Source organism: Homo sapiens, chromosome 2 (assembly GCF_000001405.40).
Source record: "Homo sapiens chromosome 2, GRCh38.p14 Primary Assembly".
Classification (NCBI taxonomy): domain Eukaryota; kingdom Metazoa; phylum Chordata; class Mammalia; order Primates; family Hominidae; genus Homo; species Homo sapiens.
The window spans coordinates 33,706,011-33,731,179 of record NC_000002.12 but is presented as its reverse complement, the minus strand read 5'-3'; the positions used below and the strand labels follow the sequence as shown (position 1 = coordinate 33,731,179).

The following is a 25,169-nucleotide window of genomic DNA, read 5'->3' as shown; positions in this document are numbered from 1 at the left end:
ATTATATATATATATAATATATATACTTATTAAAATTATATATATATAATATATATACTTATTATATATTATTATATATATAAAAGCTGCACAAAGCAGATGCATATATATATATAATGATATGGTTAAATTTTCAAATATAATGCTGAGTAAGCAAAGAGAGTATAATTTTGTTAAATTGATCCAGGGAAGAGGTGTTAAGGGAGGTAATAATTATGTGTGTTTACATACACAGTCAGATTGTAATTTTATTTTCTTTTTTATAACTTCTTCTAGTTGCAAACATTTTACAGTAAATATCTATTATATCTTAAAGCCAGGAAAATTATTTTTTAAGGTTTTCCAATACAAAATCCTTGACTACAATAAGTCTGCCAGTGTGCAGGCATCCTTCCTGCATCACAGGTCCATTCTGGTCCCTCAAGGTAGAGATAAGAACTAAACTCCTAATGCTTGACAATATAATGCACACAGAAGATGTGTCTCAGAGATCTATAGAAACATGACATCAAAATCAAGGCAACATATATGAAAGCACTTCTTAAAATCAGCAATGCAGGTGAATATCAGATACATTTAAAAAAAAAAGCAAACTGACCAAATTGAACATGTTATAATTGTCAGTAATGTATTCTCATACAAATGTCTTTTAAAAAGAACATTGGTGAATAAGGGCATCTTTTGTAAACCAGGGCCTTCAGATGTTCTCTTTAGTCACTAGAATTTACATAAAAAGGACTGGAGGAGCTTTTGCAGCAACTTTGCATTATGTGGGTAACACTAGCAGCAGCCTGTCACTTCCTGCAGCACCCAGTTCAGTGACCATATTGAAAGTCCGACTTAGATTTTCTGAACATCAATGAGCAACAGCCTCAGTAGTACAAAAGCAACAAATACAAGTTTACAAACATTCCTCATCCTTTTGCTCTATGGAAATAACATTTTCTACTTGGGACTTCAAACCCAATGACTCAACTGAAATTCTCACCCCATGTAAGCTGGTCACACCTTCAAACAAATAATGTATACTGAACATGGCTACCTGCCCAATAATGTGATGAACACAGATGCTCGTTTAATGTAAACATACAGTGAAGAGAAGTAGCACGAGCAAGTGTCTGCCATGTGCTGGGCAGAGACTTGGCTCTGGAGTCCGGGTGCTGCTGGTATCTCCTAGTACCCCAATGAGGCAACTGCTCCCACACATGGTTTGGACTGTGAGGGTTTCCATAGCATTTGTAAACTATCATGGCACGGGTGGGAGTGTAGCAGTGAGGACGACCAGGACACTCTCATCACCATCTTGGTTTTGGTGGGTTTTAGCTGGCTTCTTTACTGCTTCCACAGCCTCTCACAATCAACATGCAGTTTTCTCTGAGGTCTTTTCTTCTTTTAAAAACACGCTTTCACTCTCAAAACAGCAGAGAATGAAACTGTGGTTGTGTTTATATGCTTGAATACAATTATTTCTGCCTCAGGAAACTTTTCAGTATATTTAATTTCTAAGTATCGCTTTGAATGAGGAAGTACATAAATGAATGAATTTATGAATGAATGAACAAATACATGAATATGAAGAACTTTGAAACTGGGGTCTATAAGAGAGCCAGGGCACTTATTCATCCAAGGGCAGATGGCCTGAGAGAGTAGAGCTGCACAAAGCAGATGCAAAGAAAGGGTGAAGGTGAGTGCATGGCTTCTCAGCCCCCCACTTCCCCAGAGCCTGTGGCCCCTAGAGACTAGGCTTTGGGTGTGGACCTCAAAGAATGACAAGCAACAGAATGAATGTATGACTGCAGATTTTCCTGGAGCAAGTCTTGGCCATAGATCAATAATAACAACAACAGCCAGGCATGGTGACTCTTGCCTGTAATCCCATTGTTACCAGAAAGGGGTGCCGATCTGGACCTCAAGAGAGAGTTCTTAGATCTTGATCAAGAAATAATTCAAGGACAGTCCATACAGTAAAGTGAAAGCAAGTTGATTAGGAAATTAAAGGAGTTAAAAGAATGGCTACTCCAAAGAAAGCAAGTTGATTAGGAAAGTAAAGGAATAAAAGAATGGCTACTCCACAGAGCAGCCCAGAGGGCTGCTGGTTGCCCATTTTTATGGTTATTTCCTGATTATATGAGAAACAAGGGGTGGATTCTTCATGTCTCCCCTTTTTAGACCATACAGGGTAACTTACTGAGGTTTCCATGGCGTTTGTAAACTGTCATGGTGCCGGTGGGAGTTTGGCAGTGAGGATGACCAAGACACTCTCATCACCATCTTGGTTTTGGTGGGTTTCAGCCGGCTTCTTTACTGCAAACTGTTTTATCAGCAAGGTCTTTATGACCTATATCTTGTGCTGACCTCCTGTCTCATCCTATGACTTAGAATGCCTAACCTCTTGGAATGCAGCCCAGTAGGTTTCAGCCTTATTTTACCCAGCTCCTATTCAAGATGAAGTTGCTTTGGTTCCAACGCCTCTGACCCCAGCACTTTGGAAAGCTGAGGCAGGTGGATCACTTGAGCCCAGGAGTTCAAGACCAGCCTGGGCAACATGGCAAAACCCCGCTTCCACTAAAAACACAAAAAATTAGCCAGGCAGGTGGTGCCTGGTGTCAGTACTCCCAGCTACCTGGGAGGCTGAAGTGGGAGGATCACCTAAGCCCGGGAGGTCAAGGCTGCAGTAAGCCCTGATCATGCCATTGCACTCCAGCCTGGGCAACAGAGTGAGACCCTATCTCAAAAAAATTAAAAAATTAAAAATGGTTAGGCTGACTTGAAGCCTTTATAAGGAGAGAGAGTCGGGCCTTGCTGGGCCGCTGGCCCCTCAGTGCTGCCCCAGGCCCTGCCACCACCACCGCCTGCCCCCTGGCCCCTGCCAGAGCGGGGTTACCATCACACACGTGCCCACGCCTGCCCGGGGTGTGCACTTCCGCTGGGTTTCCTGGGCCGCAGCCCACACAGGTAGTGGAACTGGTGGAAGGAGAGGGGCGGGACTTCTCCGGGTCAAGGCCAGGTCTCTTCCCTGCTCGGTGCTATGTTCCTGTTCCACGGGGTGGCGGGTCCTGGGAGGGAGAAGCCCAGACCCAGTGGACACTGACATTGTCTCTCGCTGTTCCCAGCCTTTTCCAGGCGTGTGACTTAATCCGTTTCCACAGCCAGACCTTTTCTCCGTGAGTTCCTCAGCCAGGACTGCTGCCATGCCGGTGACTGTTACCCACCCAACCGTCACGACCACCATGCGGTCCCCCACCGTCGTAGGGTCCTCTAGGGCCCTGATCCAGCCCCTGGGCCTCCTCCGCCTGCTGCAGCTGGTGTCCACCTGCGTGGCCTTGTCACTGGTGGCCAGCGTGGGCGCCTGGAAGGGGCCTATGGGTAACTGGTCCATGTTCACCTAGTGTTTCTGCTTTGCCATGACCCTGGTCATCCTCCTCGTGGAGCTGGGCGGCTCCCAGGCCCGCTTCCCCTTGTTTTGGCGCAACTTCCCCATCACCTTTGCCTGCTATGCGGCCCTCTTGTGCCTCTCGGCCTCCATCATCTACCCCACCACCTACTTGCAGTTCCTGTCCCACGGCCGTTCCCGCGACCACGCCATCGCCGCCATCGTCTTCTCTGGCATCGCCTGTGTGGCTTACGCCACCGAAGTAACCTGGACCCGGGCCCGGCCCGGCGAGATCACTGACTACATGGCCTCCGAGCTGGGGCTGCTGAAGGTGCTGGAGACCTTCGTGGCCTGCCTCATCTTCGTGTTCATCAATAGCCCCTACGTGTACCACAACCGGCCGGCCCTGGAGTGGTGGGTGGCGGTGTACGCCCTCTGCTTCGTCCTGGCGGCCCTCACTATCCTGCTGAGCCTGGGGCACTGCACCAACATGCTGCCCATCCGCTTCCCCAGTTTCCTGTTGGGGCTGGCCTTGCTGTCCGTCCTCCTCTATGCCACTGCCCTTGTCCTCTGGCCCCTCTACCAGTTCAACGAGAAGTATGGTGTCCAGCCCTGGCAGACGAGAGATGTGAGCTGCAGCGACAGAAACCCCTACCTTGTGTGTATCTGGGACCGCCGACTGGCTGTGACCAACCTGACGGCCGTCAACTTGCTGGCCTATGTGGGCGACCTGGTGTACTCTGCCCACCTGGTTTTTGTCAAGGTCTAAGACTCCCAAAGGGCCCCGTTTGCCTCTCCAACCTCTTCATCCTGCCCCCGCTGAGTTTTCTTTATTGAGTATTCATTTCCTGGGTTTTCCTCTTCCCTATCTCCCCTCCTCCCCTTTTCTTTCCTTCCCAATTCATCGCACTTTCCCAGTTCTCTGATGTATGTTCTTCCCTTTCCTCTGCTGTTTCCTTCTTGTTTTGTTCTGTTGCCCACAACCTGTTTTCACCCGTTTCTCTTTTTCCACTCTCTCTTTTGTTTCTTTCCTCTCAATTCTTTTCTAGGTTTCCTGTTGGTTTTCTTATCTGCCTATTTCCCGACCATCTTCTCCTATTTCCTGGGGAGCCCTGAGGCTTTTCTTCTCCTGCCCCCAAGCACCTCCAGCGGTGATGAGCTCCACACCCCCACACCCATTGCAGCTGTGGCGCCACGTCCTCCCAAGGGGCCTTCTGCCCGCCCCCGCCCTAGCTGTGCCTTAGTCAGTGTGTACTTGTGTGTGTTTGGGGGAGTGGGAATTGGGCCCCCTTTCTCCCAGTGGAGGAAGGTGTGCTGTGCACCTCCCCTTTAAATTAAAAAAAATGTATGTATCTCTGGAAGTCAATAATTTCCAGTGAGCGGGAGGCTTCAAGCGCAGACCCTGGGTCCCTAGACCTCGCCTAGCACTCTGCCTTGCCAGAGATTGGCTCCAGAATTTGTGCCAGACTTACAGAAAACCCACTGCCTAGAGGCCATCTTAAAGGAAGCAATGGATGGATCCCTTTCATCCCAACTGTTCTTCGCGGTATCAAAAAAAAAAAAAAAAAAAAAAAGTCAGGCAAAGAACCGTAAGATCTTGAAGACAACTGTTTGAAGTATTTGTGAGGGACAGTGATGTGGCCTTCCAGCCTCAGTGTTAAAAATAACATTTAACACTGTGTCCTTTTAACACGGTGTCCTTCAGAGCGTGTGGAAAGAAATAAGTAAATAAATAAATAAACAACATGTCCTGCTCTGGCAGAGAGGAGAAAATGGCCACTTCCGCCCTTCAAGGCAGTACCAGCTTGGGTTTTTTTTCTTTCTTTTCTTTTTCCTGGTCATGAGGGCAGAAATTACTAGGTGGCCTTTAAAAAAAAAAAAAAAAAAAAAAGTTTCGGCCTGGCAGGGTGGCTCACACCTGTAATCCCAGCACTCTGGGAGGCCAAGGTGGGTGGATCACTTGAGGTCAGAAGTTCGAGACCAGCCTGGGCAACATGGCAAAAATTCGTCTCTACTAAAAATACAAAAATTAGCCCAGCGTGATGGCGGGTGCCTACAGTCCCAGCTACTCAGGAGGCTTAGGCAGGAGACTCGCTTGAACCCAGGAGGCAGAGGTTGCAGTGAGCCAAGATCACACCACTGCACTCCAGCGTGGGCAACAGAGCCAGACCCCATCTCTAAAAAAAAAAAAAAAAAAAAAATGGCCGGTCACGGTGCCTCATGCCTGTAATCCCAGCACTTTGGGAGGCCAAGGCAGGTGCATCACCTGAGGTCAGGAGTTCGAGACCAGCCTGGCCACCGTGGTGAAACCCTGTCTCTACTAAAAATACAAAAATTAGCCAGGCATGGTGGTGGGTACCTGTAATCCCAGCTACCCGGGAGGCTGAGGGACGAGAGTCGCTTGAACCTGGGAGGCAGAGGTTGCAGTGAGCCAAGATCATGCCATTGCACTCCAGCCTGGGCAACAAGAGCGAAACTCAGTCTCAAAAAAAAAAAAAAAAAAGGAGGTTTCTTTTTTCTCTATTGTGAGCTGATGGGAAGGTGAGGATTGCTGCTGCCCTAGCCGGAGGAATGGCTTTGCTTGAGTGTGTGGTGCACATGCCCGGGTGTTGCTGTGTGCTAGTTGCTTCTTGCTGCTGCTTCCTGCTTCTCTGGGACTCACGTGCATAGTGCAATATATATAAATGTGTGTGTGTGTGTGTGTGTGTGTGTGTGTATATATATATTTTTTAATTCCCTGGAACTTTTGGTTCCCATCAGCTCCTGCTGTTAATCATAGAAAAGAAGGCTTGCCCCTTCCCCCACACCCACACCCATAATTTTTTTTAATATCAATATAAAGGTAAAAGCAGGAAAAAATAATAATATAACAATAGTGATAGCCATAGTTTTAGTAATAATAGGTAACATTTTTGAGTGATTACCATGTTCCAGGCACTAAATTAAGCTCATTTCCTCAATCATCTCAACCAAGCTTCATTATAATCCAATTAAAAGGTACTATTATTAGCTCCATGTTACAGATCAAAATTCTGGCACACAGAACATATTTAGCCTAAACTACACAGCTAGTCTTATGCTATGCATATGGTAATTAAATTACAAGGTGCCAATTATGTTTTACATTTTATAAGGAATTAGATTGTATCAGTGTGGTCAATGTTTCTCAACCCAGCTGCACATGAACACCACCTAGCATCCTTCACACTTGGAGTTCTGTGCAATGATTCTTACATGTCAAGTTAAAGGACTTCTATTCAGCAGTGCTCAGATGATTCTGGGTCCTAACCTTAGTGCTAAAGGCAGGACTACCCTTGAGGGAGTCAGCCAGGCCCTTGGATCACAGACACACTGGTCAAGTAACTGACAGGCATTGGAGACCACCCCTCACTTGCATATAGACTCACAGCCTAGCTAACACCAAAACTGCCCTCCTCTCCAGCTCTATGTTGTTAGAAACCTCAAATACAAAATTGTGATGTTTATTTCTTCAAATTATCTAAACAATGTTTACATTGAAAAATAAGGGAAATGCCACCAAAAATTTGAATAAAAAGACTGCAGTATAATAGAAACTTCCTTCCAGGGAAAACACATTGAAATAATTCATAGACTGTGAAAGCTGGTAAAACATGTATAGATCATCCAGTCTAATGGTCTCAATCCTGGCTGCACAGTAAAATCATTTGGAGAAGCTATTAAATAATACAACTGCCAGCTCCCACCCCACAATGTCTGATTTAATCAATCTGGGGCAGTACCTGAAAATTGGTACTTTTAAAAGCTCCCAAGGGGATTTTTAATTTTTCAGTCATCATGGGGAAGCACTGATTTAGCCCAGCCCCTCATTACCTGTAAAATGGCTTGCCTGAGGCCACCTAGAATGTCATGGGCAGGGCCACATATATCTCTGTAGTCTTCTTTGAACCTATATTGAATCAGAACTATCATTTCTTTCAGAAAATACTCAAAAAGTCTTCTTAAAAAAGTGCTAGCTGTAAGACAATCAAAATCAAACATGATTACAAATATATATACTAATACCTAACATACCACAATTTTGACTTTTCAGTGAGTCAGTGTGTTAATTGTAATTGCTCATTAAAGGTGTTCTATTTTCCTTGCTTCAGTTATAGAGAGTGTGAAATCTTTCAGAGAAACCACATGGAAAGGTGATTGTCCAGATGCTGGCTAATGGGCAATGTCTTTGACCACATAGGGTTACATGCTCTGTGTGATGCTCTGAAAACCATTGCAGTTAATGAGCTGATCCAAATTGTGCTCATTTTCCAGCAACCTCAATAGGCTTGTATCCTGGGAGACAGAATGTGTTTCTGGTCACTCATTCTAACCCAAGAAATCAAGGAAAATAACAGACTTCCACAGAAGCTAGACTGACCAGGCGATACTGTGACCGGGCAAGCATGGCTTTTGACAGTAAATCCCGGAGAGGAACAGAGAGATGCAGATACTTGATCATTCTTTGCCTATAAACACAATGGTTACATACCCCCAGATCTGACCGTGAGTATATGTTTCAGGCAACTAAAATAAATATTTCTGTTTGTAAGCTAGAGAAAATAAGATATCAAGAGCTAAATCCTACATGAGCTTACTATCTTCAGTCAGCCACATAGAAATAGGTCAGTTTTGTGTGGAAAATGTTTCAGACAAATTAAGAATATTAAAAACAGTGAAGTTAAAGGTAATGTTTAAGTTTACTTTCCAGACCACAAATTTTTAAGGCTTCTAGCCCAACCATTTATGCAAAGTGCGAATTAAAAATGTTATCTGTATATTAAAGGGGTTTCTTGTATAGTGTTAGAAACCAGTGCATTCAGCAAACGTGTATTGAGTGTTTACGACGTGACTTATTGAAAATATTATATAGCAGGATGCCAACTGGGAAATTAATTTCTGCTTTTTTTGTTCCCAGTTGCTGTAGATCCATCTGAAAGGAAGGAATCAAGCCTCTGTGTTCCTGAAGTCAGGTCCTTTTCACTCCCAAAAACACAGGTTCATTTGCGGTGGGTCTGAGGCTAGGTGCTCTGGGTTATCTAGTGCTTCCTGAAGCCCTAGTTTTGAAAGAAGAAGCAGGATGAATTTTTCTGTATTGGGGACATTGGAAGGGGAGAATTAGGCTTTGCTCCACTAGATAATGCAGAATTGTGAATAAGGACAAGGTTTGCAGATTCTGCAGCAGCTCAGGGGCAGGGTCTTAAAGGTGTCAGGCACTTAAAGGGTACAGGGCAGGACATCAGGAGCCCAGTCTGGGGACCTACCCAAGATGCTCTCATGTGGAGTTTCTGCAGAACATGAGCAAGGACCTGGATCTGGAGATGTGGAATAGCAATGTTGGGCCCATAAATGGGACCACAAATGGACCCAGCATCTGAGCCACAGCATCATGTGACCATAAGAATAACAGCCATAATTGCAACCCTGGATGAGACCAGGGATTTGCCCCACTCAAGAACTGAGAGGCTGCAGGACCATTTTATAAGGATGACACAAGCCTACAGCATGACTGTACAAAACAACGTTGGACAACTTTAAAAATGATTAATATTGGATTTTTCACTGGTTTGCACATGTGGGAGCTAATACCATTTCTCATAAAATCCTTCTCAAGAAAGATAAAATTATTCCCTGAATGTCAGGAAAAAAATTGGTATCTATTACATATGTGTAAGAAACTTTATTAACAAATAATTTGTGTCACTAAATCACATGAATGTAACGCAATTATATTTTTTCAGCCATAATCTAATTCAGATGTTTTGTGACAATGCAAGGGAAAAAAATGGATGTCTGGGTGGATATCATTAAAGACTCTTCTCCACATAAATCCCTACCTCTCATTGAATTAGAAAAGGATTTCCTGAGATCTTGCTAAAAAAATCTAAAAGGTAGTTAGTTTAAATCTGAACACTCTCTCATACACAATCTCATTTATTTATTCTTTCAACAAATATATGTATTACATTCCCACTGCCTGGTAGGCATATCTGTATTCAATTCTTCTTTGACGCTGGGCTGTGCAGTTATTGGAGTTACAATAGAGAGAAAGAGAAATATGGTTGCTTTCCTCATGGAGCTTTTAGTTAAGCGAAAGAACAAGAAAACTTATCAAAAAACTAAAATAAAATGTGGTAGGTGCCATAACGGGAGAAGTACGTGTTCTGTATTAGCAAACAGCAGAACATAATTTAGATGAGGGTGGTATCTCAAGGAAGTGATAAACTGAGAGTAAAATGATAGGAAGAGTCAGCCAGGCGACCATTGCATAAGTTACAGCTTCTCACTATCTCTTCCACCACCAAATTGAGAACATGTTGTGAATTTCAGCCTTATAAGATCCTTCAAATCCAGGTAAGCATCCATATCAAGAATGTATTTGAAACTAGAGAATTGTCCAATAGGATAAAAGAGGGGATGCTGCCTCATCCAGAGCCCAAGCTCTCTATTAGCCATGCTGCCCTCTGTGTCACTTCCCTCAAGAAAGACCCTCCACTTGAGCTATGAATCGCATCCTCTGTGGCCATCTCAAGGCTTCACTTCTTAAATTCTCCTATCTCTCATACCTCAACAATGCCTCCTCTCTACTGGGTCATTCCCTTTGGTGGCACACATGTCATAATAACATACCCATGTTTGTTTTTTTTAAAAGAAGAGGAAAAGAAAGCAAAACAACCTCCTTTGTCCATAGGTAGACACACACACACACGCGTGATACCCTGCTACCACCTCACTTCTTTGCCCCCTTTCACAGAAAAACTCCTTGGAAAAGTGCTATGTATTTACCACCCACACTTCCTCATTCCCTCTCCAACGACTTTAATCAGGCTTTCTACTCCTCCGCTCCATGGAAATGCCTCTTACCAAGATCAGCAATTATCTCCTTTCTTCCAAAGCCAGTGACAGTTCTCAGTCCTCATCTTCCTCATCCTCTTGGCCGCATTTGATGTGCTTGTCTACACTCTCCTTGAAACACTTTCTACATCAAGTTCCGACACCCAAACCTTCCCCTGGTTTGGCACTCTTCGGTCTCAGGCTGGCTCTGCCTTCTCTACAAATCTATGAATGCTGGGATGTCCCCAGGGCTCAGTCCTCAGGTCTCACCTCCTTTCAATCTAACCTTACTCCCTCAGAGGTCCCATGCACTTCTTGGGTGCAAATCGCATTCACACACTGATGACTCTCAAGTTTCTATGTCAGGATTACTCCTCTCCCACAAACTCCAGATTCCTCAAACCTCCTGCCTCCTTCACAGCCCTTCTGTAAAGTGAGTGGCCAAAACAGAACTGTTGATTTCCACTATGCTGTAAATCTACCCCGTTTTCAACTAACCATCTACATACTCCTAATCTCCTTTGCCTTGCCACACCTTTTATTTTTCCATAGCACTTATCACCATCTAACATAGTGTATGATTTTATTTATTTAACTCATTATTCATTGTCTACCTCCGATAAAATGTAAGTTCCACAAGGGCAGAGATCTTTGTTTCATTAGCTGTTATATCCTAAGAGCCTAAAGAATTGTCTTATATATCGTAGACTCTCAAATATTAAGTATATGAACTAATGAGAGGTAAGTGGCTTGCCTAAGGCAGTATGCATTGCATTATATAAGAATATATCCAGGGATTTCTATATATTACAAAGATGTAAATCAACACAAATTTAAGACTCTGACTGAGGCCCTAGAGAAAGGCAGAGATAAAAGAAAGGAGTATGAGTCCTTGAAAGCTACCCTCCTGCTGACCAAGAACAACCACACTGCTGTTATATGAATAAAAAATAAAATTCCATTTGGTCAAGCCTCTGAAATTTTGGAGTTTATTTGTTACAGAAACTAGCTAATACACATTTGAACATGAAATTTTTTAGCATGAAATGAGTTCATGTGCTTTGGGGGAATTTACATTATTCATTCAACAAACATGTTGAGCTCTTGCTGTGGGCCAAGAACTCTGATGGGCATAGGGGGTTCAAAGATGAGTAATAGAAAATCATTTCCCTTCAGGAAACCCAAAATTTACAATATCATGCTGCAAGTTTTATTTCAGAGGAAAGGAAAAGGGGCTGTTTCAGCCCAGAGGAAAAAGCCTAATTCTGTCAGGCAGAGAAGAGACGAATCAAAACAGGTGATGTGACATTTGGACTCAGTTTTGAATTGTGAGCATGATGAAGAATGAAAAAAGAAAATATGTCACTTTTGTAAAATGTTACTTGACAAATTTGATTCCAAATTATTTGGCCTTTTCACTCTGTACAACTGCTCTTAGAGTTTCATTAAATACAATTCATATTCACTTCAGAGGTGAAATTGAACTTTAATGTAGATATATCACTCAGATAGGGATATAATATTTTTCTGCTTGATAGTACAGTGGTAACATAAGGCAATAGAAAATATCAAAGTGCAAAAGACTGTCCCTCATTATTGATATTTTCCAAATAGTTAATTTACCCCAAAAGATAAATAAAAACCCTTTTTAACCATCAAAGACAGCACCACTGGGTATTTCACAATACTTTACACTGGCTAGGTGATAAGCTGCACTGTTTTATGGGTCTTACAGTATTTGAAATCTATGAACCAGAAAGACGTTTTGTCTTCCAAATGTCCTATGACATTTGTTTTAATGATGTTTACAAAGGTTTTCCTAACGAAAACCTTTGTATGCTTTCAAGAACTAGTTAATTTCAACATTTATTAAGTAATTGCTTTTACTTAAAGACTGATTAAGATTCAATGAGGACAAATACTACGTAATACACTAAGTAAGGAAGAAGTTTCTGCAAACACATATAGGATAATAGCTGGAAGTGGTCCAGCAGACATCCCATGGAGTGGTGTGCATAGCAAAAACAAATCTATCTCATTATATCTGGCACTGATTAGATCCTTTGTTAATATGTCTTACCTTGTTCTCCTTTTTACAAATAAGAGAAATATATGGAACTTAAAGTGAGGGCCAAAGAAAACATAAGTATAATGATTATAATGACATAAATCCCTTTTGAGAGACCTTTTTCTCTCACAAATATTTTTATATTTGCCATCTCATTTGTTTTTCATACAACTTGGAAAAAAATATTAGAAGATGGAGGTAAAAATATTTCCTAAACCAATTTTTTTTTTTTTTTTTTTTTTTTTTTTTTTTTTTTTGCGACGGAGTCTCACTCTGTCGCCCAGGCTGGAGTGCAGTGGTGCAATCTTGGCTCACTGCAACCTCCACCTCCCAGGTTCAAGCTATTCCACTGCCTCAGCCTCATGAGTAGCTGTGATTACAGGCACATGCCACCAGGCCCGGCTATTTTTTTGTATTTTTAGTAGAGAGAGGGTTTCACTGTGTTAGCCAAGATGGTCTCGATCTCCTGACCTCGTGATATGCCCACCTTGTCTTCCCAAGGTGCTGGGATTACAGGTATGAGCCACTGCGCCCAGCCGCCTATTTTTTTTTTTAAGTCCAACTCTCAGTCACATTCCAGTTTCCAAAATCAGAATCAAGCATTATCTCTTCCTTCCACTGGTATAAACACTGGACTGGACACTTTGGGGATAGGAGGATCTGCAAATACAGAGATGAAGCATATTCTCTCCTTCACTATGCTTGTAGTTTAGTGGGGAGAGTCAGAAAAAAACATACGCAAAACAGCACATTTTGGCTTGCATTATTCTTTTATATCCTAAAAGAGGAGACAATGTTCTCATTTCAGTGAATCAACATCCACCCCTTTGAACAATCCAGAAATTCAGGAATCTTCCCTCATTATTCCCTCTCCCTTACCAGATCCAGTCCATCAAGTCCCGTCAATTTTACCTTCTAAATATTTTTCACGTTCTTTCCATCACCATTGCCATAGCCTGAGTTCAAGCTGCCATTATCTCCCATAGGCATGAATTGCACTGCCTCCTAAATAGCCTCCCTGCTTCCATTCTGAGCCTACCCAATGTTCTCTGCACACTGCAGGTGGAGTGATGTGGTAAAAATACAAATCTAGTCATAGCTTTTCCCACTCAAACCACTTCAGGAACTTTACATTAGCCTTATGGTAAGGTGCAAAATTCCTTAATTTAGACCACAAGGCCTTGCTTGATCTAGACCCTGCCTAACTCTCCAGTCCCATCATCTGCCACCGTATCGCTTTGCTCTCTTGTCACTTTGGTCTTCCTTCGGATCACTGAACATTCCTCAGTCCTTCACACTTCCTAGATTTTCCCTTGTTCTTCCCTTTACCAAGAATGCTCCATCCCCTCCCTATCTTCACATTGTAGCCCAAACGTCACTTAGGCAGGGAAGACTTTGTTCACTTTTTAGACACAATCGGTTCTTCTTAATGCTCATCACAACTCATAGCTAGGTATTTATTGTGTCATTATTTAAATCTGTCTCCCGCTTCCATCCTGTTCCCACTGCACTGTAAGCTCTATGAGGGCAGGGACAATGTCTTTGTTGCTTATTTTGTATCCCTGTAGCCTAGCACATTGCCTAGCACATGCTAGGGGCTCCGTAAATATACAGTGAATGAGCAAAAAGATGACCATATGAATGAAGGAATACTGAAATAAAGATTTCACGAAAGAGGTCACCCTGGAAATGAGCACTGAGGGGGAAATAACATTGCAATAGTCAGAAAAGGGTAGGGAGGAACTTCCACGCTCTAAGAACTGTGAGAAACAATGACAAAGAGACAAGAAGTCATAAAGCAGGAGAGGGAATCATGAAGAATCCATACTTATTTAATTGAATGTATACAGTAATGGAATATTAGCCCAGAAAGATGTACATTCATCACGAAGATCCTAGAATGCAGGATAAAAAATAGTATTTAATTACATAGTGATTCATTACCGTTTTATGAGCAAGAAGTGACACGTGCAAAGTGAAATTTGGGCAGTATTCTATGCTTGTTCATAAAGAGTGTAAGCCAATTAGAACCATAAACTAATATTACCACAGAGAACAAAGTTATTTTTAAAAGCTATTAACGTCATACATTTGAAAAATAATAAAGATACTGACATGTCCTTGATAGATAAGAGATTTCTAAGAATGGAATTCATGGATAAAGATGATGGATTGAAGCAACCCAATTTATAACACAGAATCTCCCAAAACCTGAGGAATTGGCAGCACCAGGTACTTATAGAAACAGAGTTAAAAATAAGAGGAGTGGACTAGGTACGTTGGTTCACACCCACAATCCCAGCACTTTGGGAGGCTAAGGTGGAAGGATCATTTGAGCCCAGAGTTTGAGACCAGCTTGGGTAACATAGGGAGACCTCGTCTCTACAAAAATTTAAAAATTTAGCCAGGGATGGTGGTGCATGCCTGTAGTACCAGCTACTTGGAAGGCTGACGTGGAAGGATTGCTTGAGCCGTGGAGTTCCAGGCTGCAGAGAGCTGTGATCATGCCATGGCACTCCAGCCTGGGTGTGAAAGAGAGACCCTGTCTCTAAAAAAAGAAAAGCTGGGTGCGGTGGCTCACACCTGTAATCCCAGCACTTTGGGGGGCCGAGGCGGGCAGATTGCCTGAACTCAGGAGTTTGAGACCAGCCTGGGCAACATGGTGAAACTCCATCTCTACTAAAATACAAAATATTAGCCAGGCGTAGCAGCATGCACCTATAGTCCCAGCTACCCGGGAGGCTGAGGCAGGAGAATTGCTTGAACCCAGGAGGCAGAGGTTGCAGTGAGCCGAGGTTGCAGTGAGCCGAGGTTGCACCACTGCACTCCAGCCTAGGCAACAGAGCGAGAATCTGTCCTCTGTGTCAAAAGAAAAAGACTGGTTGGAAGTCTGTTGTTTGAGAAATAGTTCACTAAAACCCCTCCTTCCTTGCAAACAAGAGTTTTATTCTCTAAAAAAATAAAATACAGGGTCTCCACACTGAGGAGTATGTAGCACAGATAAGGAAAAGAATGTGATTTATGGAAAATGAAGGCGGGAGTATGAAATTAGGGTTTACATGTCCAGTGCTAAGATTTCCAGCTCCCTTCTCCAATTTGGATCCCAGAATTCTAGCAATACACATAAATTTTCTAGACAGGAGATGAAAAGATTCTTTTTGGGTGAATTTGACCAGCTCAAAAGGAAAAACTGATACTGGAAGATATGCAAAGGCCCAGCCAAATCATCCTGTGGTGCATCCCATAAATGACAACCAACAACCATCCACTAAGACCAGTAAGACTTTCTTTTCTTTTCTTTCTTTTGAGACAGAATCTTACTCTGTCACCCAAGCTGGAGTGCAGTGGTGCAATCTGTACTCACTGCAGCCTCCACCTCCTGGGCTCAAGCGATCCTTCCAACTCAGCCTCCCAAGTAACTGGGAGTCAAGGCACATGCCACCACACGCAGCTAATTTTTGTATTTTTTGGAAGAGATGGGGTTCTTCAAAACCCCGGCTTCAGGCAATCCTCCTGCCTCGGCCTCCCAAAGTGCTGGGATTACAGGCACGAGCCACCATGCCAGGCTTTGTGCAGATTTTCTATACAAGTCTAATTCCCTACTCTCACACAGGAGAATCACCAGACACATGAGGAAAGTAACTAAGCTGAATGATAGAAACCAAAATTTAATCAACTGATTAAGAAAAGCAAGTTGGGGGAATGAACTCTTGAGAGAACATGGGGAATAAAACTAATGTTGATAAACTTAGAGAAATAGAAGGGGATATTATATCCATGAAACAAAAACAGAATGCTATTAAAACAAAATAAAGAGAAGAGACAAAATAAAGCATTAAAAATCCAAGGGTAGAAATGAAAAACTCAGTAGACACGTTGGAAAATAACAGTGGAGAAGTCTCCCAGAGAGGAGACCAAAAAGAGAGCTGAAAACCGGGAGAGGAACAACAGCAACATCAGAGAGCCATCCCAGGAGATTCACCAGCCAAATAGTAGAGTTTCCAGCAGAATATAGAGAATGGAGGGGAGGAAACCATTAAAGGAATGATTCAAGAAAATAGCCCAGAGCTAGAGGACATGTTTTTCTAGACTTTAAAGGCTTAATTCACGTGGCCAGCACAAATAATAAAAATAGATGAGGACTAAGCTCCGATTTTTTATCTTACCCAAATTCCTACCTAAAGGGTCTAGGGAGTCATGCTCTACAAACCATAAATTCTCATCAGATGGGTTTTATTTGACCTTATATATCGTGACTTATACTTTTCAATCTGACTCTGGCATAACATTATAAGACAAGGAAAAAAATATTTAACCCCAAAATACATTCCCTTGCCATACCTTAAAATTGCCCTGCAAAGTCTCTTGTGGGAAAAATCCACATTCTATAGAGAATCCCCTTCCTCCTTTCTTTTCCTTCCTTCCTTCCCAGATCCAGGAGATAATCAACTAAGAACCCTGTTAAGTCCGATAGCAAACAATTTACAACCTGCTCTCTCTAAAGTCGGCTACCTAAGAGTTTCCTCTGCACAATAAAACTTAGTCTCCACAATTCTTTTTCTTTAACCTGAACATTCCCATTGATCCCAAGTCTTCAGACAACATCAACCAATTGTCAACCAGGAAATGTTTAAATTTACCTATAGCCTGGAAGCCCCCCCAACCTGCCCTGCTTTGAGTTGTCCCACCTTTCTAAACCAAACCAATGTATTTCTTTTTTCTTTTTTTTTTTTAATTGTACTTTAAGTTCTGGGGTACATGTACAGAACATGCAGGTTTGTTACATAGGTATACACATGCCGTGGTGGTTTGCTGCACCTATCAACCTGTCATCTACATTAGGTATTTCTCCTAATGCTACCCCTCCCCCAGGATCCCACCCCCGCAACAGGCCCCATTGTGTGATGCCCCCACCCTGTGTCCATGTGTTCTCATTATTCAACTCCCACTTATGAGTGAGAACATGCAGTGTTTGGTTTTCTGTTATTGTGTTAGTTTGCTGAGGAGGATGGTCTCCAGCTTCATCCATGTCCCTGCAAAGGACAAGAACTCATCCTTTTTTATGGCTGCATAGTATTCCATGGTGTATATGTGCCACATTTTCTTTATCCAGTCTTCAATCCGAAGGTCACGAACATCAAAAACGAACCAATGTGTTTCTTAAATGTATTTGATTGATGTCTCATGCCTTCCTAAAATACATAAAACCAAGCTATACCCCAACCACCTTGGGCACATGTCCTCAGGACCTCCTGAGGGCTGTGTCACAGGCCATGGTCACTCATATTTGGGTCAGAATAAATCTCTTCAAATATTTTACAGAGTTTGACATTTTTCATCAACATAGATGTCACTGTGCAATTTCAGGATATTCAGAGAGAAGAGAAAATCTTACAGGTTTCCAAGGCGGTAGAGGAGAGAAAAACACAGTTTACATACAAAGTTTTGGGAGCCAGAATGACTTAGTTTTTTAACATTAACCGTAAAAAGCAGAAAATAAGGCATTTAAAAATCTAGGGGAAAACTATTCTAGAATTCTACCTTCAGTCAAAAGTTATCAATCAAGTATGAGGGTAGAAGAAAAACATTCTCTTCTGAAAGGCTCAAAAAATTTGCCTCAAAGAATCTTTCAGTGGAATCTTGTGACTCTACCAAAAATGAAAGTGTTATAAAGAGTCAAACTCAGTAAAATATCGGAAGAGGTTTACTCTGAGTTAAATATGAGTGACCACGGCCTGTGACACAGCCCTCAGGAGACCCTGAGAACATTTTCCCAAAATGGTAAGGGTGAAGCTTGCTTTTCTACATTTTAGGAAGACATGAGACATCAATCAAATACATTTAAGATATACATTGGTTTGGTCCAGAAAGGTGGGACAACTTGAAGAGGGGCAAGGACTTCCAGGCTATAGGTAGATTTTTAAATGTTCTGATTGACAATTGGTTGATTTACTATCAATAGAAAGGAATGTCTTGGTTGCATAAAAGTTTTATCATGCACATGAAGCTTCCAGGTAGCAGGCTTCAGCGAGAATAGATTGTAAATGTTTCTTATCAGATTTAAGGTCTGCGTTGCTGCTAAAAGCTGGTGGGCTTTTGCTGAATTCCAAGAGGTAGGAGGGCATAATGAGGTGTGTCCAACCCCCCCACCCCCCCGCCACCACCCCACCTTCTTGTCATGGCTTGAACCAGTCTTTCAGGTTAAATTTGGAGGGCCCTGGCCTAGTGGAGGAAGTCCATTCAGATGGTTGGGGGGGCCTTCAAATTTTATTTTTGGTTTACAGAGTCAACCAAGAAAGAAGACATGGGATACAGGAAAAGGTTCTACAAAGTAGGCCTAAGAATCAACAGGGAAAGGAAAATCCCAAGATAGGATGTCAGCTGTACACCAGCTACAGAGGCAACCAGTCCAGACTGCAGCAGGCCAGAACAAGCCAAAAGGTTCTAGGAGAGCATTTATTCAAGAAGATAACGTCAATAAATTATCTGACACACCTAACTAAAGAATTGAGAAGAGACTTGGAAAAATGTAGAAGAGTTTGGGTTTGAATTAATGATGTGTATGTCTGTAGGAAGCAAAGAAACTACACACACAAACAAAAAGCATAATTATGAAATCCAAACAAATTTTAAATCATGAAGGAAAATGCAAACTGTGTGCCTCAATTGTAAACAGTCATAATACTGTAAGACTGAGTAATGCTTTAGCCTAAGTTATAACACAATGGGAGAAAGGATGAGAAAGGAGGTAAGGAAAGTGGTGAAAGAGAATAAAATCCTTATTTTCCTAGTGAGAATTCAATAAATCATGCCGAAATATAAAAAATCAATACCTAGAAATATGAACCTGCTATGTAGATGTATGATGATATATACCAAATGGAACAGTGAAAGGAACTTACAGTGGTTGCCTGTAGAGAAGAGGAAATGAAGGGTGAGGGACACTTTTGTTTTAACTGTGTGTATGTAAAAGTTTCATAAAAATAAAAACTAAATAAAAGACTATTTTAATTTAAAAAATCAACAGATCAAGGATGAGGGAGAGACGTGCATGAGAAAAAGAGAAACAGAGACTGATCTATAAATAACTTATAAGTTTCATATTTAAATGTCTAGGAAGATAAGGAATTCCAAAGGAAAGTTTGAATTTAAAGAGAATAACAATTACAATTTTAAAAGTAAAGCATTTATCACAACAAACAACTATCTAGAGACACAAAATCATGGAGAGCCACTCTCTGTACCCACAGAAATTTAAGGTTGCAAGGGCCCTTAGAGATCAACTTGCTTCTGTTTCCTGAATTTTTTCTAGGATACCCTTTGCAAGGGCTGTACATGCTCTATTTGAACACCTATAGTGACTGAGCATTCGCCATGTACTGAGGCCCCACTCTCTACTTGAGCTTCTTTAGTTCTCTTTTTTTTTTTTTTTTTTTGAGATGGAGTTTTGCTCTTGTCACCCAGGCAGGAGTGCAATGGCGCAGTCTCGGCTCACTGCAACCTCTGCCTCCCAGGTTCAAGCAATTATCCAGCCTCAGCCTCCTGAGTAGCTGGGATTACAGGTATGTGCCACCACACCCGGTTAATTTTTGTATTTTTAGTAGAGACGCGGTTTTGTCATGTCAGCCAGGCTAGTCCTGAACTCCCGACCTCAAGTGATCTGCCTGCGTCAGCCTCCCACAGCGCTGGGATTACAGGCATGAGCCAGTGGCCTGGCTAAGGTTCTCAAATTCTTTTCTTTTCTTTTCTGTTTTTTTTTCTTTTGCTCTATGGCCCAGGCTGGGTGCAGTGGCGCAATCTTGGCTGACTGCAACCTCCGCCTCCCAGGTTTAAGTGATTCTTCCACCTCAGCCTCCTGAGTAGCTGGGACTACAGGCACACACCACCACTCCTGGCTAATTTTTGTATTTTTAGTAGAGATGGGTGTCACCATGTTGGCCAAGATGGTCCTGATCTCTTGACCTCGTGATCCACCCGTCTCGGCCTCCCAAAGTGCTGGGATTATAGGCGTGAGCCACTGCGCCTGGCCTCTAATTCTTTTTCTTTTGAGACGGAGTTTCACTCTTGTTGCCCAGGCTGGAGTGCAATGGCATGATCTCGGCTCACTGCAACCTCCACCTCCTGGGTTCAAGCGATTCTCCTGCCTCAGTCTCCCAAGTAGCTGGGATTACAGGCATGTGCCACCATGCCCGGCTAATTTTTGTATTTTAGTAGAGACATAGTTTCTCCATGTTGGTCAGGCTGGTCTCGAACTCCCGAGAGTGCTGGGATTACAGGCGTGAACCACCGTGCCCGGCCTGCTTCTCAAATTCTTAAATGGGACTTCCTTAGGTAAAGCCAAATCTGCATACCAGGCATGGTCTCTTGTGCTACCCTGCAGTTCTTGACTCTCTTCTTTTGCTTAAAATACTGCAGATCTGCCCTAAGTATTCTCAGTGCTTTTAATAACTACCAAAATGTTGCCTGTTTTTCTCTCTGGACTCTTACTTGTATCAGAGAACTCAACATTTTAGTAAAAGAATCTAAATATTTAAATATGAGTAAAAGTGAATGTATAGTAAATAATATCCATTCATTCCTGGCTAGTGAAACGAACTGGAATAAATGACTTCCAGAGATTCCTTCCATTCTTCTTAAACAAACACAGGAGTGTTTCCTGGACTGGGATCACTATGTAAGTTACAATAACAGGGATGAAGCAGGCAGGGGAAGGCTAAAGGAAGGGATAAGAAGGGCTCTGCCTCCATGCCTTGCTATCTTCGGCCCTTCTGAAGTCAGCAGTTGTCATGAGGCTTGACTCAAAATCTGTTTCTAAGAGATGGAGTTCCAATTAAAGCCAAGTACCGCAGTGTTGTTTCCAGAATAATTTGAGTCTTCAAGCTGTACTAAGTGCCTTTTTGCCTCTACACATGAAAATTACTACATTTTTCAGTTTGTTTCTATTTGAAGGAAGATGGTTTAGATGATTATAGAGGAGTAGCTGGTCAATTCTACCCAAATTCCACTTGTGATTTCTATGTTGAAATTCCAAAAGTCTCTTTAATACATAATTTATGTTCCTCTAAGATAGTTTTTTTTTTACAATAATAAAAGCCCTCAAATTTCCCAGAGGCAAAAAAAAAAAAAAAAAAAAAAAATTATACTCAATGTGAGATCTTAGAGCTCAGCTCTTGCCAGAGGCCTATCCGTCTCACATGATCAAGAGATATTCTCCAGTAGTTCTCTGTGGGTGACTGAAAACTGTATACGAGTGGTGAGACACATATTCTTTTCCTGGACTTGATTTTTTTTTTCTTTTTTTTTTGAGATGGAGTTTTGCTCTTGTTGCCCAGGCTGGAGTGCAATGGTGTGATCTCGGCTCACCCCAACCTCCGCCTCCTGGATTCAAGCAATTCTCCTGTCTCAGCCTCCTGAGTAGCTGGGATTACAGGCATGCACCACCACACCTGGCTAATTTTTTGGTGTTTTTAGTAGAGAAGAGGTTTCACCATGTTGGTCAGGCTGGTCTTGAACTCCTGACCTCAGATGATTCGCCTGCCTCAGCCTCCCAAAGTGATTACAGGCATGAGCCACTGCACCCAGCCTGGACTTGATTTTTTACCAGTGTCAAAAGCAAAATAATTTCTCAAAATTTGTTATTTGAAAAATTCTAATTTTTCTGGTATCCATTTTCTTAAATTTCATTTTTATTTATTTACTCATCAAATATTGATTGTTCATCTACTATGTGATCTGCCCTGTTCTGCCTACAGGGGATGCAGCAGTGAACAAGACAGAAAAAGGTCCCTGGAGCTCACATTTTAGGGATGGGAGGACAGATAATGAGATTTATATTTATCTTATTCCACTATATAAAGAAAAGAAAACAGGGTGATGTCCTAGACAGTGACTGTTAGGAGTGGTGGCTGATTACACAGGGTAGTCAGAAAAGCCTTCTCGGTGGAGATATTAGAAGTGAAAACCAAGTATCAAGAAAAAATTCAGCAGCATAAAAGATCCGGGTAAAGAATAACCAGGCAGAGGAAAAAGCAAGTGCAAAGGCCTAAGAGAGTCTGTACATGAACGTGATTACGCTACAAGAGTGTACTCAGGGGGATTTTAATGTCTTTAGTGATAGTGGATGCCCTCTTGCATCTGATCACTCGGCTGAGTTCTCATAGAATAAAGCATTCATTCCCCTAGTTGCGAGACTATCGCAGCTGATGTCTTTTAGCTGAATCCCACTCCAGGAATTGCCCAGAGCCTAAGACAGTCTCTCCACCTCCCTGGAAGCAGACCACATCCAGTGACTGGCCACAGAGTTATAAAAATTCAACCCCTCGCAAGAGTCATCCAAGTCCTTAGTGCCCCATGGGCTGGCTTGATTCTTCTATCTTGATTGCAGCACAGCCCACCTCCTCTCTCTGCCCAGTCCTGCTTTCTTCACTGCCCTATAGGTATTGATTTTGAGAGCGATTCTCCACAGATTTCCATCTCAGCATCTCTTTCCCTGGGGCATCCAGCTTAAAACCAAGGTTGATCAATTTAGTTACTTATAAACATTAAACGATGACAGCAGGCCTAAGCAACAAAGCAAGACCCCATCTCTATCGAAAAAGAAAAAAAAATCATCTGAGTGTGGTGTCACACACCTATAGTCCAGATACTCAGGAGGCCAAGGCGGGAGGATAGCTTGAGCCCAGGAGTTTGAGGCTGCAGTGAGCCATGATTGCATCACTGCACCCCAGGCTGCACTACAGAGCAAGAGTCTGTATCAAAAAAATAAAATATAACAGCAGCACCATCACCAAATTTAGAAATCATTTAAGAGTGCCAGTGTTTTGGCTGGGTGCAGTGGCTCACGCCTGTAATCTCAGCACTTTGGGAGGCCAAGGAAGGCAGATCACGAGGTCAGGAGATCGAGACCATCCTGGCTAACACAGTGAAACCCCCTACTAAAAATACAAAAAAATAGCCAGGCGTGGTGGTGGGCGCTTGTAGTCTCAGCTACTCGGGAGGCTGAGGCAGGAGAATGGCATGAACCTGGGAGGTGGAGCTTGCAGTGAGACGAGATCGAGCCACTGCACTCCAGCCTGGGCGACAGAGCAAGACTCCATCTCAAAAAAAAAAAAAGAGTGCCAGTGTTTTTAATCCATTTGTAATTAAAGATAATATGACATGAAGTACTAATTGGTGTCCATTCTTTTAGTTTTGTCACTCTAAAATCTGTACCCACACTGTTGAGTATTGCTTCCTAACCACAAATCTGATCATGGCAATCCTTTGCTAAAGGCCTTCAGTGGCACTCAGTGGCCTTGAAGACAATGGCCGAGCTCCATGGTCCACAGGTCTCTTCACAACCTAACATCTGCCTTCCTGTGTACCCCTTCCACTGACCTGATTCAACCCTGGACCCATGGCGTTTGAGTTATGCTGTTTCACATCCTCTTGCCTGCCTTTGAACCTGTAGTTTTCTCTGCTTAGCAAATCCCTTTTTATTCTTTAAGGCCACCTTTTCTGAAAGCCTTCCTTAGCCCTCATACCCAGAGTTCCTAACACCCTCTTGTGCCTCTACTCTATACTGTACACTTTTTATTGTTGTACATATCATTGTAAACATCTGCCCATTTCTGCTGCTCAACTGCACTATCGTTTCCTTGAAGTCAGGGACTATGTCCTATTTAATATCGCCCCCTTCAGTGCCAAGCCCTTCCGAGACACTCAAAAAGCCTGCCTCACCCTGATTTCATTAGGAAAATAGTATAGACAAGACACAAAACATATTTGTAAAAGTGATGCCTTACTAGCAACCATTTTACAATTATGAAATCCATCATAGTAGAAAGGTTACCTTTCACTAGGCCCTAATAAAGGAGGGTCTATTAGTCCATTTTCACACAGCTGATAAAGACATACCCAAAACTGGGAACAAAAAAAGATTTAATTGGACTTACAGTTCCACATGGCTGAGGAGGCCTCAGAATAATGGTGGGAGGCAAAAGGCACTTCTTACGTGGTGGCAGCAAGAGAAAAATGAGGAAGAAGCAAAAGCAGAAACCCCTGATAAACACATCAGAGCTCGTGAGACTTATTCACTATCACGAGAATAGCACGGGAAAGACCAGCCCCCATGATTCACTTACCTCTTCCTGGGTCCCTCCCACAATACGTGGGAATTCTGGGAGACACAATTCAAGTTGAGATTTGTGTGGGAACACAGCCAAACCATATCAGAGGGGCAGATGTACAACGTTTGTATTGTAAATGTAGCTGCCGGGCCCCAATCTCCGCCAAGTCTCAGAGGTCTACAATCAGAGGACTCCCACAGACTACTACATTTTCATACTCACCCACTTCCGTTAAACCCTCTAATTAGCAGTTTCCACTCTGTTAACAACTTGTCATGAGTATTTATTTGTCTTCCGGTTGACTTAAAATGAGAGAAAACACAGTGGGCAAATCAGAGCAACACCTGAGTGAACTGTTTATGTTCACAAGTGTGAAAGCTACCAAAGCCATCCATGAATTGAAGAAGAACTCTTGGTTTGCCAATTAACAGAGAACAAGAGTATGCTTCCAGAAACCTTCCTGGGGGGCGCTGCATTTTAAAATTGACCATTGAGAACAGCAATGATGAGCTCAACAAGAGATATAATCTTACCCTCCTGACAATTTGTGTTCAGAAGGGACAGTGTTCTAGCAGAAAAGTCAGTGACTTTCAAGTTAGAATACTTGTGTTTCAATTCTCTTAAGAGCATGTGGCCTTCAGGAAGATATTTAACTTCGCTTAGCTTGACTCTCCTCATCTGTAATACAGAATTATCTGTAACTCACACCATACTTGTGAGAATTAAATAAATAAGGTCATATGTGAGAAAGTGCCTAGTCTAGGCTCTT

At 42.5% G+C, this 25,169-nt stretch overlaps 1 long non-coding RNA gene and 1 pseudogene across 2 annotated transcripts in view; one reads left to right on the top strand and one right to left on the bottom strand.

Moving 5' to 3' along the window:
* The window catches only part of LINC01317 (long intergenic non-protein coding RNA 1317), a 590,861-nt gene extending 566,567 nt beyond the window's left edge, over window positions 1–24,294 (bottom strand). Inside the window, exon 1 of the long non-coding RNA NR_126403.1 lies at window positions 24,227–24,294. This is a non-coding gene — a long non-coding RNA (long intergenic non-protein coding RNA 1317). The remainder of the gene's footprint in view (window positions 1–24,226) is intronic.
* On the top strand, window positions 2,963–5,119 carry MYADML (myeloid associated differentiation marker like (pseudogene); annotated as a pseudogene). The gene has a single exon (NR_003143.2). The product of NR_003143.2 is annotated as a myeloid associated differentiation marker like (pseudogene) (transcript).
* Window positions 24,295–25,169: the final 875 nt, after the last annotated feature.